At 38.3% G+C, this 17,737-nt stretch overlaps 1 protein-coding gene and 1 long non-coding RNA gene across 7 annotated transcripts in view, besides 1 other annotated feature; one reads left to right on the top strand and one right to left on the bottom strand.

Moving 5' to 3' along the window:
• Positions 1 to 17,448, top strand: part of LANCL1 (LanC like glutathione S-transferase 1) — a 46,334-nt gene extending 28,886 nt beyond the window's left edge. For all 4 annotated transcript variants that reach the window (XM_005246243.3, NM_001136575.2, NM_001136574.2 and 1 more), the window contains exons 5-10: positions 7,256 to 7,391; positions 7,955 to 8,101; positions 10,827 to 11,009; positions 12,307 to 12,483; positions 13,240 to 13,312; positions 14,136 to 17,448. In XM_005246243.3, coding sequence (XP_005246300.1) covers positions 7,256 to 7,391; positions 7,955 to 8,101; positions 10,827 to 11,009; positions 12,307 to 12,483; positions 13,240 to 13,312; positions 14,136 to 14,212 — 793 coding nt within the window. In that variant the 3' untranslated portion in view covers positions 14,213 to 17,448. The remainder of the gene's footprint in view (positions 1 to 7,255; positions 7,392 to 7,954; positions 8,102 to 10,826; positions 11,010 to 12,306; positions 12,484 to 13,239; positions 13,313 to 14,135) is intronic.
• The window catches only part of LANCL1-AS1 (LANCL1 antisense RNA 1), a 145,622-nt gene that overhangs the window by 21,635 nt on the left and 106,250 nt on the right, over positions 1 to 17,737 (bottom strand). For 2 of the 3 annotated variants that reach the window (NR_110604.1, NR_110605.1), the window contains exon 3: positions 6,000 to 6,157. The exons of the other annotated variant lie outside the window; for it this stretch is intronic. This is a non-coding gene — a long non-coding RNA (LANCL1 antisense RNA 1). The remainder of the gene's footprint in view (positions 1 to 5,999; positions 6,158 to 17,737) is intronic. 3 annotated transcript variants of the gene reach the window in all.
• Positions 5,348 to 5,933: an enhancer, noted in NCBI's record as "NANOG hESC enhancer chr2:211307490-211308075 (GRCh37/hg19 assembly coordinates)". NCBI's record gives its function as "activates a minimal SCP1, AML or CMV promoter by ChIP-STARR-seq in primed H9 embryonic stem cells {active_cell/tissue: H9 hESC(primed)}" and the evidence as "EXISTENCE:reporter gene assay evidence [ECO:0000049][PMID:30033119]".

Below are 17,737 nucleotides of genomic sequence, written 5' to 3'. Positions count from 1 at the left end.
TGTATTCCTGTGGGATCAGTGATGATATCCCCATTTATCATTTTTTATTGTGCCTATTTGATTCTTCTCTCTTTTCTTCTTTATTAGTCTGGCTAGTGGTCTATCTATTTTATTGATCTTTTCAAAAAACCAACTCTGGGATTCACTGATTTTTTTTGAAGGGTTTTTCATGTCTTTATCTCCTTCAGTTCTGCTCTCATCTTACTTATTTCTTGTCTTCTGCTAGCTTTTGAATTTGTTTGCTATTGCTTCTCTAGTTCTTTTAATTGTGATGTTAAGGTGTCGATTTTAGATCTTTCCTTCTTTCTCTTGTGGGCATTTAGTGCTATAAATTTCCCTCTAAACGCTGCTTTAGCTGTATGCCAGAGATTCTGGTACATTGTGTCTTTGTTTTCATTGGTTTCAAAGAACTTATTTATTTCTGCCTTAATTTCGTTATTTACCCAGTAGTCATTCAGGAGCAGGTTGTTCACTTTCCGTGTAGTTGTGCAGTTCTGAGTGAGTTTCTTGATCCTGAGTTCTAATTTGATTGCACTATGGCCTGAGAGACTGTTAGGATTTCCATTCTTTTCCATTTGCTGAGGAATGTTTTACTTCCAATTATGAGGTCAAGTTTAGAATAAGTGTGATGTGGTGCTGAGAAGAATGTACATTCTGTTGATTTGGGGTGGAGAGTTTTATAGATGTCTATTAGGTCTGCTTGGTCCAGAGCTGAGTTTAAGTCGTGAATATCCTTGTTAATTTTCTGCTTGTTGATCTGTCTAATATTGACAGTGGGGTGTTACAGTCTCCCACTATTTTTGTGTGGGAGTCTAAGTCTCTTTGTAGGTCTCTAAGAACTTGCTTTATGAATCTGGGTGCTCCTGTATTGGGTGCATATACATTTAGGATATTCAGCTCTTCTTGTTGCATTGATCCCTTTACCATTATGTAATGGCCTTCTTTGTCTCTTTTGATCTTTGTTGGTTTAAAGTCTGTTTTATCAGAGACTAGGATTGCAACCCCTGCCTTTTTTTTGCTTTCCATTTGCTTGGTCAATATGCCTCCATCCCTTTATTTTGAGCCTATGTGTGTCTTTGCACATGAGCTGGGTCTCCTGAATACAGCATACCTATGGGTCTTGACTCTTCCTCCAATTTGCCAGTCTGTGTATTTTAATTGGGGCATTTAGCTCATTTACATTTAAGGTTAATATTGTTATGTGTGAATTTGATCCTGTCATTATGATGTAGCTGGTTATTTTGCCCACTAGTTGATGCAGTTTCTTCATAGTGTCAATGGTCTTTACAATTTGGTATGTTTTTGCAGTAGCTGGTACCAGTTGTTCCTTTCCATGTTGAGTGCTTCCTTCAGGAGCTCTTGTAAGGCAGGCCTGGTGATGACAAAATCTCTCAGCATTTGCTTGTCCGTAAAGGATTTTATTTCTCCATTTCTCCTTTGCTTATGAAGCTTAGTTTGGCTGGATATAAAATTCTAGGTTGAAAATTCTTTTAAGAATGTTGAATATTGGCCCCCACTGTCTTCTGGCTTCTGGGGTTTCTGCATAGAGATCCACTGTTAGTCTGATGGGCTTCCCTTTGTGGGTAACCCGACCTTTCTCACTGGCTGCCCTTAACACTTTTTCCTTCATTTCAGCCTTGGTGAATCTGACGATTATGTGTCTTGGGGTTGCTCTTCTCAAGGAGTATCTTTGTGGTGCTTTCTGTTTCCTGAATGTGAATGTTGTTCCTGAATGTGAATGTGAAGGTTGGGGAAGTTCTGGATAATATCCTGAAGAGTGTTTCCAACTTGGTTGCATTCTCCCCGTCGCTTTCAGGTACAGCAAATGTAGGTTTGATCTTTTCACATAGTCCGTTATTTCTTGGAGGCTTTCGTTCCTTTTTATTCTTTTTTCTCTAACCTTGTCTTCATGCTTTATTTCATCAAATTGATCTTCAATCTCTGATATCCTTTCTTCTGCTTGATCAATTTGGCCATTGATACTTGTGTATGCTTCACAAAGCTCTCATGCTGTGTTTTTCAGCTCCATCAGGTCGTTTATGTTCTTCTCAAAACTGGTTATTCTAGTTAGCAATTCCTCTAAGCTTTTTTCAAGGGTCTTAACTTCCATGCATTTGGTTAGAACATGCTCCTTTAGCTCAGGGGAGTTTGTTATTACCCACCTTCTGAAGCCTACTTCCGTCAATTTGTCAAATTCATTCTCCACCCAGTTTTGTTCCCTTGCTGGCAAGGAGTTGTGATCCTTTGGAGAAGAAGCAGCATTCTGGTTTTTGGAATTTTCAGCCTTTTTGCACTGGTTTCTCCCATCTTCGTGGATTTATCTACCTTTGGTCTTTGACGTTGGTGACCTTCAGATGGGGTTTCTGAGTGGATGTCCTTTTTGTTGATATTGATCACCAGTGGCGCCTCCAGAACAGCAAAGATAGCTGCCTGTTTCTTCCTTTGGAAGCTTTGTCCCAGAGGGCACCCGCCAGATGCCAGCCGGAGCTCTCTTGTATGAGGTGTCTGTCGACCCCTGCTGGGAGGTGTCTCCCAGTCAGGAAGCACAGGGGGGCAGGGACTCACTTGAGGAGACAGTCTTTCCCTCAGCAGAGCTCGAGCACTGTGCTGGGAGATCCACTGCTCTCTTCAGAGCCGGCACGCAGGAATGTTTAAGTCTGCTGAAGTTGTGCCCACAGCCACCCCTTCCCCCAGGTGCTCTGTCCTAGGGAGATAGGGGTTTTATCTGTAATTCCCTGACTGGGGCTGCTGCCTTTTTTTCAGAAATGCCCTGCCCAGACACTGGACATCTGTTTTTAAAGTTACAAACCTTTTGATAATACAAGGCCAAAAACTCTCCCCAGTAACACCCTGAGGAAGTACTGTGAGGAGAGGAACAGAACTATCCTGTTTGTGTGTCTTCATTCTTCTTTCAGTGACATTTCAGTGACTTGGCTATCTCTTCTAAAGATGGGTTGCATTAATATCAACATATCAAAACAAATAAATGAAGCTGCAACAAAGTGCTTGTTAGTTTGAGAGTTTCTGAAAACACATAAAATAACCATTATGATTTATCAGTGATATCATTTCTTTATTTTTATATCTTAATATAAATATTTTATTTTTAGTCTTATATCTTGAGAATATAGCATGTACAACTTGCAGTTAAGTCCTAGTAATCATCGAACCCAACTAATGAATTTTAGTGATTTGAATTCAAATCCAGAAAAAAAGGGATATGCTTCCTTTATTACCCTAAACTGTATTGTTTTAATAAGATGCTCTGAGCAATACTGTATTTTAGATAAATATTTGAAAGGTATTTGCTACCTACTTTGAATGTTGCAAATGCAAATGTGTTTGGCTGCAAAGTAAATGGAATGCTAATTATATATTGCCACCTAGTGGTAATGTATGTCCTAACATCAGCAAAAAAGGAATGGAGTTAATGCCGTGGTTCAAATATTTTATTTCAGTTGGAATATCATTGGAATCAATGCAGTAATTCGGTGTAATACTTCCATAGAACAGTATGTGTTTAAAAAAAATTACAGTAATTTTTTTTCATAGTTCTTTCAATCTTTGCAAAAGTAAGTCAAAAGTACTTTATATTGAACTTCTATATAATTTGACACATTTATATTAAAAATAGGTTCATATCAAAACTTGAGATATTCATTGTTTACTGTAACAGTTGAATTTGTATCTAATAAACACATTTTGTTTTCTTATGGCCCCAACGTTACTGAGCTCCCAGTTCTGGAATGAGAAAAAAAATTCTTAATAAATGTTTTTATTAAAAATTTAAAATTCGTATTCAAAAATTAAAAATTACTTTTAAAAATTAAGGGAGTGTGTGTGTGTAGATATATATGGTATCGAAGTAGAAAACAAAATGGCCCATAATTCTATCCATAAGCCCTATTGTTTTAAAAAAGGTCAAAGTATACAAGAAAATGTATTAGAAGAAAAAGGAAAGAAACCTCTAGCCAAGTTTCTTGGTTATCTATTTCTCAGTATATCTCTTCCTAAGATAACCACTGTTTCACTATGAATTGTTGCCTATATTTGTAGAAGAAAAAAATGGATGAGCCAGCATTTGCATATTTAACTAATTTGAGTTGCCTCAATTTGATGAGGAAATAATATGAAAAAGTTTAAACTGTTTCACTAACTGCAACTAGCCATGCTTTTTCAACCCCCACTTTCCTGCAGTTCCCTTAAAGACTCCTTCATAAGTTTCTCTCAGTCTTTCTTTCATAACTGTCAGCCACTTTCACTCACTAAAATCATCTCATTCTGCTTATTTAAAACCTATCCTCTTCATTTTAAATGTTTTCTCCCCCCTCACCACAAGCGTGTGGAAGTAGTGGAGAGGGAGATGGGAGAGGAAGATTGTTCTCTTTCATATCTGCCCTCCTTGCTGAGCTAGGATGTTTTCACTCACTGTATCTATAGCCTGGTGGTAACAATTGTTAGGTTTTTGTTTGCTTGGGATTTTGTTTGATTTTGTTTGTTTTTGTTGTACATATTGGTGGTCTCCAGAGACTGGCAGTAAAGGCTGTAAACCCCCTCAGCTCTACCCCTACCTTCTGAGTATGTTCAAATGAAAGCACAAGTGGGTGCCCAATTCTGCCAACTGTGCAAACACTTTAGGAAGAAGATACTCTTTAGACACACATACATACATACATACAGTCTCCTACCCTGTTTTTGTAGCTCAGAGAAAGTCACATTGCCCTCAAGCCCTTCTTAGACTTTATTCATCAAAGAGTGGGAAAGCCCGTACCATCTTCCAAACCTCCAGCCCATCTTTACCACTCATTCCACCAATGAAAAACCATTTTCTATCATTCCTTAATAATAACAAATTCTCTGGTGTAGATTTTGATAAAGTTCCTATATGAAAAAGAGGCACTTCAGTGCTGAGTACCTCTGAGTGTTGACTCCTGCTTAGAGTACTTCAAATACATCACTTTGGGGCGGGGGTTGGAGGGACCTGATGTTTGTTACTTCAAATGCTAATTAACCATCCCTAGTGTATAGACTGAAGTTAGATGACAGACATGCACAGGCACGGCACACTGCTTCTGCTTAACTACTTTAAAATTAAATTTCCATATAGATAAACACGATAATTTCTAAACTGGAAGGGACTATTTATTTCACAGATGAAAAATTTTAAGAACAAAGATTTAGTGTCGAAAGCTACCTGATAACATTTGTTAGGGCTAATGTCGTCTCATTACTACTTTCTTCCAGAGTTTCATTGGCTCTTTGTGCTAATATCATTTTGTTAAGTTTCACCAAAAATTAAAATGTTTTAACTTAAATAGGATCATATCAAATTTATAGGCTAATTTAGGGATGATTGAGATGCACTTCAAAATTTCATGTGACAAAACATCTAAAATAGCAAGGACATTTTTCTTCCCTATCATATTTGCTGCCCACTCCCCTCCCCCCAAAAAGGGAACATTCTCAGAGGTCAAACTACCAAAGATGGTTACTTTCCTAAACTGACTTCCCTCTGTGATCTTCTCCCCTACTTGCTGGTTCCTGAGGCTTCCCCTTTTGGTCTCTGATGAAAAGGGTGGGGCTTTGATGACCCTGCTGTGCCATGTCTATGACTATGCATGCATCTGGGGCCAGGTGATGTGGAGGACAGAGAAGTAAAGCAATGGGGGCTTATAACCCCCTCCTAAGACTGCAGTTCCTCCAATCTGTGGGGAAATTTCCCTCCCTCAGAGTTTAGGCTCCCAGGGCTCCCCTTGTCTTCGCACCTGCTCCCAGCATGAGATTGCTTTGTAGCTTGGGGCACAAGAGAACTGAGAAAAGGAAAATAAAGAAAAATGGAGGGTTAACCCATTCTCTCTGATATTAGGAGTTCTCTTTGTTCAGACAGCACTAGAGGGCTTCTTCTGGGTCTCTATAAGCCTACTTGTGCCTACTTTTGGGTTTTGTGCTGTACTGAGTTCAGACCGGGGAATACCAGAGAGAAAAAATGGTAAACTCACCATTGGTTTGGTGCTACTTCAGATTCCTGTCCTCTTCCCCTTTTTGCATGTTACTGTTTGCTTTTCAGAGACCTCAAATAGCTGCTGTATCCTGTCCAGGTTTTAGAGCCACATTTTGAGGGAGACACAAGGTGCAGAGCATGCTTGCTCCATCTTACCTGAAATCAGAACTGAAAGTAACTTTTTCTGAGAAGCTCAACTGAGTCTATCCGTAGGGATTGAATGAACTATAATTCAGTGGGGTTCTATGCAAGTATTACAAAGAATGTGACTACTCTGTGTGCTGTTATGGAACCATTGTCAAGATGTATTGTTAAATAGCAAGCTGTAGAATATTTATACATATGTATATTTATGCTTATGTGTACATAAAATCTAGGAATACACACAAAAAAATGGTAACCATGGTGATTTCTGAGGAGAACTAGAAGGCTGGGAGACTGAGGAGATGGAGACCTGACTGACACCTCTTGTACTATTAATATTTGCATGTATTGGCCAGTTGCAGTGGCTCACACCTATAATCCCAGCACTTTGGGAGGCTGAGGCAGGCTGATCACCTGAGGTCGGGAATTGGAGACCAGCGTGACCAACATGGAGAAACCCCGTCTCTACTAAAAATACAAAATTAGCCAGGTGTGGTGGTGTGTACCTATAATCCCATCCCCTCGCGAGGCTGAGGTAGGAGAATCACTTAAACCTGGGAGGCGGAGGTTGCGGTGAGCCGAGATCACGCCATTGCACTCCAGCCTGGGCAAGAAGAGCGAAACTGTCTCAAAAAAAAAAAAAAATGTACATGTATTATTGACTGTGATAGATGAAACCTACTTCAAGTAGGCCTGGTGACACATTAAGAAATAAACCAAGGAAGGAGATGATGGGCCATTTGAGTGTTGGCTTAGTCCTTTCTCTGGGCTAAATGCCCTAAAAGCCAGCAGTTCTTGGCTTCTTTGACCCCAACTGCTAAAATACTCACCTTAGGGCCTGCCTCCATGAGGAACTAGGGAGATTTCAGATAGCCTCAGCCATACATTTGTATTCTTTCATTTTATGAATGTATTTGTCAGTTCCATTGTTAAGTGAAGAAATTTAATGGAGGGCTAATCTGTGAACCGTGACTGTTCTATAAATAGATATTATATATGTATAAATACATATTTTGTGTGCATGTATATTTTTTTCAATGTACCATTTTTAAGTATACACCAATACCTGGTTCCTTTCAAATTATTTGGGGCATGTATTTTTATTTTTAGGCTAATTCACCTAAATAAGATTGATCCTCATGCTCCAAATGAAATGCTCTATGGGCGAATAGGCTACATCTATGCTCTTCTTTTTGTCAATAAGAACTTTGGAGTGGAAAAGATTCCTCAAAGCCATATTCAGCAGGTACCACGTTTTTGTGTTTTTAGGAGCCTTTTTAGGATCCCATTTACTTACTATCTGCCTAAACTATTGTTTATGTCTCTGTAGTTAGCACATTCCATATAAAGGAAGGTGTATCTGGACCTCTAAAGGTTGGGCACAGTCCAAGAACCAATAGCTTTCTACGGAGTGCTGTTGGAAACATTTCTGTCTCAAGAGTCCGAAGGCCAGTCTGCTCCATTTCAGAATTTAGAGGCCCTCTCCAAAGAGGATTAGAGCCAAATTTCACCTCCCAGATGGAGGATCTCCTTTGGTGGTGCCTAGAGGAGTTTATGCTTTTCTTTGACAGGCGAACTCTTGTAAACTGTAATGCAAAGAGCTCAAGATCCTCTACGCCCTCCCCCTTCTAGGCTAAATACAGTCCCACACACTTCTCTGATGGAGAATTAAACTGTGCCTTTCCCTGGCTATAAGCTGGTGTCTAATTTGTCATGTTCCCCAGTACCTCTTAGCAAAAAAGTCTTTACCTCCTCCAGGAAGATTTTTGTTCAGTTAACTTGTTATTTTGGTTGGTTTTCTCCCTGTAGATTTGTGAAACAATTTTAACCTCTGGAGAAAACCTAGCTAGGAAGAGAAACTTCACGGCAAAGTCTCCACTGATGTATGAATGGTACCAGGAATATTATGTAGGGGCTGCTCATGGCCTGGCTGGAATTTATTACTACCTGATGCAGGTAAGGAGTGATTATGGTGAAATTTTAAAATGTCCTTCCTGACCCATGTACTATCATGGGTGAGAAAACAGATATTCTAGTTCTAGTTTGTCATTCTGTCAACCACTGCATTACAGTACTCTCCTTGTAATTACTTGTCCTAGACAAACAAAAGTAATGTTTACGAAGGTGCCTTTAAAAGTGTATAAACATTAAAGGCCCTGCGTTTTAAAATGATGTTTGATTTGCAGGTGATCGTGCTTGCCCACTTAGTGCCACTTGTGCAGACTAAAGTGTTTTGACTTATAATTCTGTATGAAGTGCCTCTGCTCTGCTCTTTCAGCCAGTGCTTTGAATTAAAACTATTATTCCACATTAAAAGGTACAACTGATTCCAACAAATTCCAGGAATAAGAACAAAATCAATAGAAAACAAATGAGCACTTGTTGCCTAATGCTCACTTAGAGAGCAAAGCTGAGGAGACTTCTACTTACCTGAAAAACAGCTGAATATGCTCTGCCCTACAGTTCTTGGGATCTAATACTATTGGGGCACATCAACCAAAGTCAAATAGACTAAAGACAGATAGAATTTACTGCAGCAGACATAACTTGGGAGAGATCAGAAGAGGACTTCTCAGGAGAGCATCATTTTGGGAGACTTACGAAGCTCTCCTTAAGGAGAAACTGGCACTTCTGAATAAGAATTCATGGCAAAGAAAATTGATTTTTAATGGCAGCAGAGGTACCCCTGTCACCTTCCCAAGGCACACTGTGGCATAAAGAAAAGTGTTTCATTAACGTGTTCAGCAGGAGTGCTTGGATATACATACTACCAGCTCTTTGAGTAGCTGGCTCTTATAATACAAGATCAGTGTTGGACCTGCCCTCTACCTATAAATAAACAAGGACAACAGAACTGAAAAACTCAAGATTATTATTATTTTTGAATGCAGAGTCACACATTGAGTGTTAGTGGCAATCAGAGACTAGCGTATTTATTCTACACTTTTCAATTAGAGGTTATATAATTAGGATGTTGACATTTAGACTTAAATTTCTTTATTTTTCTGGTGCATGTCTTCCTCTCTATTCCCAGTAGTAAATGTAGATTCCTAAAAGCTTTCAGGAAAGAAGAGTCTTCTGAAGTTTCAAGGTTAGTTAGAATCAAACATACTAGAGGCCCTCTCCAAAGAGGATTAGACAGCCTTATCGAAATTTCATTGAAACAAATAATCAGGAGACATAGTTGGTTAGTGACTAGACAGCCTCATCAAACTTTCATTGAAACAAATAATCAGGAGACATACTCTGCCTCCTTGTGTTAGCTGTAGTAAGAAATCTGAAAACCCAAGTATTGATTTTTCCATTTGCAGGTTATCATCTCTTTGAAATGATTTAATTTTTAATCCTGAAAGTCTATTCTAGTAGGTACGCCTTCATCAACATAAAATAAAACATCATTATTTTTAGGCCATGTTGGGTAATTCCTGCAAGTTTGAGGAGAGTCCACTCATTCTACTGTAACACTCTGAGCTTAAATGCTATTCTTTGTATGAAATGAAATCTGCCTTCTAAACAACTCAGTCCACTTTCAGAATCTTGTGGAAGTCATATTGTCAGCATTGCTTTGACCCCACCACGACCGCCTCCTGCCTGTGCTTCACACCACTGCCCACCCCTCACCACCACATGCCCCACACCTTGCCTAGTGAAACAGCACTTTGAATCTGTTAAAGACATTAGCAGTCATTGAATTAAGAACAGGACCAAAAGGAGAAACTAAAATGTGTATCAAAAATGGTGGCTCATATGCTGTATGTCAGTATGTCCTATGGATCTGTACGTTGTTATGTCAAAATAATGTGGCATTTAGATCAGTCCTAAATCCTCTGCAAAAAGACTTGATCTAGAGGCATGCTGTAGTTTGGAATCTAGATTCCAGGTCTCTTAACTTGTTAGTATCCTTTTTCTATTGAAAATACCACCTATCTCTTCTCTAAATGTAATAACGAAAGTCATGCTTGGTTTGTCCAGTGCATCTCTTTGTGACTTTTAAAGCTTGTTTTATATATTGAAACCATGAGAAACTTCTCTTACACTCACATTCATAGGCATTGACTTAGGAAAATTATTTATATGTATGTAGATAGCAATTAATATTGAAAAACAATATATACAAAATGCCGAGCACAGTGGCTCATGCCTGTTATCCCAGCACTTTGGGAGGCCAAGGTGGGCGGATCATCTGAGGTCAGGAATTCAAAACCAGCCTGGCCAACATGGTGAAACCCCGTCTTTACTAAAAACACAAAAATTAGCCAGGCGTGGTGACAGGCATCTGTAATCCCAAGTACTTGGGAGGCTGAGACAGGACAATCACTTGAACCCGGGAGGTGGAGGTTGCAGGGAGCCAAGATCGCACCATTGCACTTCAGCCTGGGTGACAAGAGTGAAACTCCATCTCAAAAAAAAAAAAAAAAAAGAAAGAAAAACCATATATACAAAAGGCCCTAAGAGTTAACTGATAGCAATTTTACTTTGTCCCATTGTTTAAAATTTTTAAATGAAATCACAAAAGCTTAAAATAAAGGCATCCAATAGGTGGAAAAATTGGATGAAATCCAAAACCTCTTAATGACCTTCCATTTCCCCTTAGCCATGCTTTTTTTCTGGTTTAAATATACTGAGACCTAGGAAGGTTTATTTGCTTCAGCAGAACTAATAATTTCCTTCTCATTTTTAGCCCAGCCTTCAAGTGAGCCAAGGGAAGTTACATAGTTTGGTCAAGCCCAGTGTAGACTACGTCTGCCAGCTGAAATTCCCTTCTGGCAATTACCCTCCATGTATAGGTGATAATCGAGATCTGCTTGTCCATTGGTGCCATGGCGCCCCTGGGGTAATCTACATGCTCATCCAGGCCTATAAGGTACTGTGTGTATTTTTGAAATAAATTTTTTTAAATAACCAAAAATTTATAATTTAAAATTAGTTTTATCCTAATCCATAAAGGAACAATAAATAAATCTCTTGTGGGACCTAAGATCACTTTACTAAATGAATTATAATTCATTCTCACCATCTATCTGTACCATAGCAGCCATTGTTTCATATCCTACTTTTAACAACACTTAGGTTGCAATGAGATATTGTTTATGATCCAGCATATTATCTAGCAATTCCACTCCTAGGTGTGTACTCGAAAGAACCAAAACCAAGCATTCATAACGGCATTATTTATAATTGCCACAGGTGAAAATAATCCAAGTATTCATCAACAGATGAATTGATAAAATGTCATATATACAATGGAACATATCACAATGCAATGGATTATTATTCTGCTATTAAAAGAATGACTTTCTGATACATATTACAACATGGATGAACCTTGAAAACATGCTAAGTGAAATAAATAGATATAAAAGGACAAATATTGTATGATTCCATTGTAGTGCATAAATAACACTAATAGAAAGCATGCCTTCACAGAACTGCAATCAACGCAGATTTTTAGTTGAGAAAAAAAAAGATATCTATGACCATTGGTGCCAAATCAACAAATTACAACTCTGCAGACTATCGCTGGGCGCTGGCATCTCATAAATAAGCTTTTAGTGTATCATATTCTACATTTCAGAGAATTAGATATGTTAATAATAGAAAAACTTTTTAAACTGCCTTATCCTACTTTTAAGAACACTTAGGTTGCAATGAGATATTAAAAATATCTACTCAGAATATTTCCTAAGTCTTTGATGAAGATATAGGAGGCAGTAAAAGATTGTAAAGGTCTATCTCTATTTTTCTGACTGCATATTTAATAAAGAACAGTTGTTCTTCTCCAGTGTGTAAAGAAACTTCCTAATAGTGAAGAGGGCATCAGAGTTACAAAGAAGATAGCATGTGTTCTTTGGAAAGTCACTCATGATAAGAGCAAGTTGCAAGTTAAATAATGCTGCTTCCTCAGTAACACCCACATAAACATACACACATGTGCAGAAAACTTAGACTGTACATGCCAAAGTCATGCACAGTTTTTTTTAAAGCCAAACTAGTCGATTTTAGTAATTGTCACTAGCAACATAACACATCCCTCTGTCACTAAATCCTTTACCCTTTCTTGCCAAGCCATCTCCCTCTTTCCTTCTTATCTATCAGGAAGGAATATCAATGGAACTTTCTTTTATATCCCGTATAATAAAATGTGTCCTTTGCCTCTGCAGGTATTCAGAGAGGAAAAGTATCTCTGTGATGCCTATCAGTGTGCTGATGTGATCTGGCAATATGGGTTGCTGAAGAAGGGATATGGGCTGTGCCACGGTTCTGCAGGGAATGCCTATGCCTTCCTGACACTCTACAACCTCACACAGGACATGAAGTACCTGTATAGGGCCTGTAAGGTAGGAGTCAGAACCACCAAATAGAAAGCAGCTCGGTGGCTCACACCTGTAAATCTCAGCACTTTGGGAGGCTGAGGCAGGCGGATCACCTGAGGTCAGGAGTTCGAGACCAGCCTGGCTAACATGGTCTACTAAAATGACAAAAAATTAGCCAGGTGTGGTGGCAGGCGCCTATAATCCCAGCTACTTTGGAGGCTGAGGCACAAGAATCACTTGAACCCGGGAGGCAGAGGTTGCAGTGAGCCAAGATCACACCATTGTACTCCAGCCTGGGTGACAAGAGTGAAACTCCATCTCAAAAAAAAAAAAAAAAAAAAAAAAAGCAGGTCTCCCAGGAGGTTGTAGAAAGAGTTCTAGTTCATCTGATTTAATTCATTTATCCCTAAAACCATAGGTCTTGGATAACAAATACAGTTATTTAAGGAAAACCTTGAAAAGCCTTTCAATTAAATTAGCATTCCTTTAAAGGGACATAATTCTACTCAACAGCATTAATGGGAGAAAAAAATAAAGATGTAGGGTGATTTTGTGCCTTTCTTCTTGAATAACCTTGTAGATACGTGACTCAGACAGCTCATTAAATTCCTCCCATGCTGTGTACTCTTTCAAACCATCCTTTTCTCTGCATTAATCTCCTTTCTCTGATGTGAAGGTAGTGTTTGATTTTTCAGAGTAATTTGTATAGACAACCTCTTAACTTTTGGGGTTGTCTCTGGAAGAAATCACTATACTAATTTAACTTGGTCTCATTTTCAGTTTGCTGAATGGTGCTTAGAGTATGGAGAACATGGATGCAGAACACCAGACACCCCTTTCTCTCTCTTTGAAGGTATTTTGTACACTTTATTTATTTGCCCTATAATATCAGCATCTACTTCTCTGCTTGGTAATTAATGTATTTAAGTTTTAGCAAAAAATTTTATAATTATTCTTAAACTACTTTTTTATTTCCTAATATGCTAAATCGATATTAAAAATCAATTAGCACATGTAATACCACAGTCCCAATACTGGTAGTCATCAGGTGACTCCCTTTTATGGAGCCAGGCACATGTTGGGCATTTTGCAGACGCCCTCATAAATCATTCAGCAAAAACATACAGGCACTACTACCTTCATGTCATAGCCGAGGAGACTGAGGCTCAGGAGCTTATGTTTGGTAAATGGCAGGGCTGTGACTTGAACTTGTCTGGCTCCATTCTTTCTCCAGTCTTCCACCGGGATATAAGGCTGAACACCTCACTAGTGATCTCTTCTAATGTTGAACTGCAGTGTATGTAAACGTAGATAGATTCACACTTCATTTAAATCATTGCCGTTAATATTGTAATGTTGTTAATGTTAAAAAATGGAGCCATCCTTCGTTTTTGCAGAGTTGTAACTGCTCTCGGGGGGTGTCAGTGAGGTGAGGAAAAAGCCATAGGATGCCGAAGGAGGAGGGCCAAGAGGACACCCCCACCCTCCAGTGCGGCCTTGATCCAGACCTTAGGGACGAGGCCATCACTGGTGGGCACCCTTTGTTGATGTTTGTGTGTTTGAATAGACTGAAATGCTGTGACTTTTTTTGTCAATAAAGATATGGGGGAAAAAGAACCATCCTATGAAATGGAGTCATTTGGTATAATAACTTTTGCCTCTTTCTCTTTCTTCAGGAATGGCTGGAACAATATATTTCCTGGCTGACCTGCTAGTCCCCACAAAAGCCAGGTTCCCTGCATTTGAACTCTGAAAGGATAGCATGCCACCTGCAACTCACTGCATGACCCTTTCTGTATATTCAAACCCAAGCTAAGTGCTTCCGTTGCTTTCCAAGGAAACAAAGAGTCAAACTGTGGACTTGATTTTGTTAGCTTTTTTCAGAATTTATCTTTCATTCAGTTCCCTTCCATTATCATTTACTTTTACTTAGAAGTATCCAAGGAAGTCTTTTAACTTTAATTTCCATTTCTTCCTAAAGGGAGAGTGAGTGATATGTACAGTGTTTTGAGATTGTATACATATATTCCAGAACTTGGAGGAAATCTTATTTAAGTTTATGAATATAACCATCTGTTACTGTTCTAAAAATGTTTAAAAGAAACTCAATACAGATAAAGATAAATATGTGACTATTATTGGGTATTACACTTCACTTCTCTTTAATATTTTTCCTCCAACTGGAGGGCAGACAATTTTCTGACTTGCTTTTCTCTAGGTGGTTCATTTTGAAAGGGGACAGAAATATAACTAAATGCTTCCAGGAGAAAAATTCCAAGAGTTACAATCTGGACTTGGTACCTAAATATCATTTTTTAAATTCTTGATGCCTATTTGGACTAGAGGTAAACATACTTTCAGATTGGCCTGTTTTTGTCGGTAAGGCATACAGCCTTCAGAAGCCAACATTTTTAATCAAAAACTTATAAAACATGATGATCATTGTGAAAATTCTGAGTTGAAGGTTAGTTTAAGATAAGCTAACAATAACAGTCTGTGTTTTCTCTAAAATAATCTGAGTTTTTTGGAACTCTTTATTTAAATATGTGTGTTTTTCAGTATTCAAATAAGATCAGGAAGCCAATTTTCTATGTATGAATATGCTTTAACCTAGGATTTCAGTCCACTCTGACTGACTTTCTAAACTTTAACTTGGGTTTTTACAGTGACTATGCATTAGTGCTGACTCTTTGGTATAAGCCATAAAATATTTTCCTTCCTATCAATTTATCTGAACTTTGGTCTTTTCACTAAATTGTACAGTATTCTACTTCTGTTTAAAAAGGGGAGATGAGAAAGGGAATACTATCTAACCAATAACTTGAACAAAAACACTAAACTAAGCATTTAATAGAAATGCTTTTTATTGAGGAGGTATTATCCAGAGTTCATGCTTAGAACAAATGCATCTTTGCGTATCCTAGACTTAACAATTCATCAGTTTCTGAGACCACAGAATCAGGTTTTCCGTAGTAGATAAAGACTCTCTGGTGCTTCAAATTCTGTTCAAGTGTTTTGACTCATCAGCTTCTACTCTTTCTATTACTGCCTTTGCCTGGCTTGTTTTGTCTCTTTGCAACTGATTTTGCAAAAAAAAATTGTAGCTTTAAAATAACAGGGTCTAAGTATTTTAAATGTGCCTATTTCACAGCTCTCTTGGTCACAAAAACATGCTATTTTTATTGGAACTTCAAACCAAATCCCCACTGAGTGTGTACTGGTTCCTGCAGGTAGCAGTCTCCTATTATCTCCTGTTTAGCACCAAAAGAGCTAATATTATTGGAAACTGACCTTTTAAAGGCCACTGGCAGTAGGATTTAAAAAGCAGCCCACTGCTCAGTTTCCAGGATCAGCTTCCTCCTTCTGTCACTTGTGTAAGTTGGCACTACCTTGTGCCTCTCAGATTGCTGAAGTGCTGCTGGTAAGCATGTGCATGCTCTGCCTTTCTTGTGAAAGTTTTCAATCAGCGATATCAGCACTTACAGTAAGAAGTAAAAGTAGTGCACAGCAAAGCTAATTTGCCTTTGCCTGGGGTGTTCAGCTTGAAAGAATAAAGCTCATTTGGTTTAGTTAAATGTCTTACTCTACTGTGCCTATGCTTTTAGCTGCGTTACTAAGCAAGGGAAAAATAACAGTTTCTCTGAGCCAGAGAAGACTTGATCACAGTTCTCCAAGCATCGTGATAGCAATGCTTAACCCCAGGAAGATTTCAAGGCAGGGAGAAGAACATTTCAAATAAGATTCTTGTTAACCCATTTATGCCTAGTGTTCCATTATTGGAATGCTAAGCTTGTGGGAGTCATTTACATCCTACTGCTCAAAGTCATTGCCAAGGTCTGATTTTTCACACAAAAAATTGCAACCCCCAGCATAAATGGGTTAGCTACTGTCATCAGTTAGCAAATTCATCCACACAAACACAATTAGAGTTTGGTTTTTTTTTAAGCTTTTCAAAACTTACTAAACTGGCACAATTTTATATGTATGCTATTTGTTGTATTTATGCTTAAGAGCAAAAAAGTTTTGATGGGATTTTAAATTCAGGCAAAGCCTACAACGCTGAGACAATCCCCTAACAACATGGTAGTAACTAAAGAAACTTTTATACTAGGCTTCTTAGTTTTAAAAGGAAGTGGCATCATTGTTTCAGTTCTAGTTTGTATTTTTCTCTCAGATATTTTTCTTCTTTAAAAATCTTTCCCAGAAGTTGGTTCCTAGAAAACTCAATACCATCATCTCTTATCTCTATACAGGGACTAGGTAATAAAACCTTCAAAGGTTGTCAAAGGTCATCAAGCAGTGTTCATTTATCCTGTCACATGTTTCTGTTTCTATAGTAATTTAGAAATTGCAAATAGTTAACTTTTCATCATGTAAAAAGTTAACATTATCCTATTTCCATAGATACCATGGACGGCGGTGTGGCCTGAGTTGTCAGTCTTTAATCCTGAGTCATGTGGCTCTCTTTTCATCTTTGATGTCAGTTCCAATTATTTGGCATCAAAAACCTTCATGGTAGGTAGAGTTTTAGGTAAAAGTGGATCTAGGGTTACTTTCTTTATTAACATTTCCTAAATAACTGAATTGAGAGACATACTCTGCTACTATGTCCTCAGGTTAATTTTTGTCTGATCTTACGATGCCCTGCCTTTTACTAGCTACTTTAGAAATAGAAAATGTGAAGAGTGACTATTTACATGTATACTCCTTTGGCTGCTAGAACTCATCTGTAGTCCTTTATTATTTACACTGAATTCCAATTTCATTTCTGCTTCCGCTAAGTAAGAGCACCTCATTCCTGTGTTTTCTCTACTATTGAGCTGTAGACGAACTGTTTCTCTAATTATAAAGCAAACTGTTTGGGATATTCAGGGAAACTACCCCAATGTTATGTTGTCATTTAATGGGAAAGGCTGGGATCATATGTATTTCTATGTTCTGTAAAGTATTTGACTTACTAGTTCTCAATAAAATTTTATTAGGACTATATATCATCATGTGCTTTTTGTTTGCTTTGGTTTAAACTTGAGAAATATTTTCCCTCAATGGCAAGTTATTGCGGGATCTGGCCAGCAGCCCGCAATGCAACGGGGCTCTCTCTTTGTTCCCAGGCAGATTGGTAGGTTGAGAAATAATAGACTCACACAAGATAGTGAAAGCCGCGTCCAGGGGGGTCACCGCCTTCTGGTTCTGCGGTGCCAACAATGCGCTGGATATACCAGCATTTATTATTAAGTTTAGTGAGGGCAGGGGTAGGTTAGTGAGGAATTTAGGGTCA

The sequence above is a fragment of the Homo sapiens genome, chromosome 2, assembly GCF_000001405.40.
Source record: "Homo sapiens chromosome 2, GRCh38.p14 Primary Assembly".
NCBI classification, from domain to species: domain Eukaryota; kingdom Metazoa; phylum Chordata; class Mammalia; order Primates; family Hominidae; genus Homo; species Homo sapiens.
Note: the sequence above shows the minus strand (reverse complement) of the source record. Positions and strands in the feature narration are given on the sequence as shown.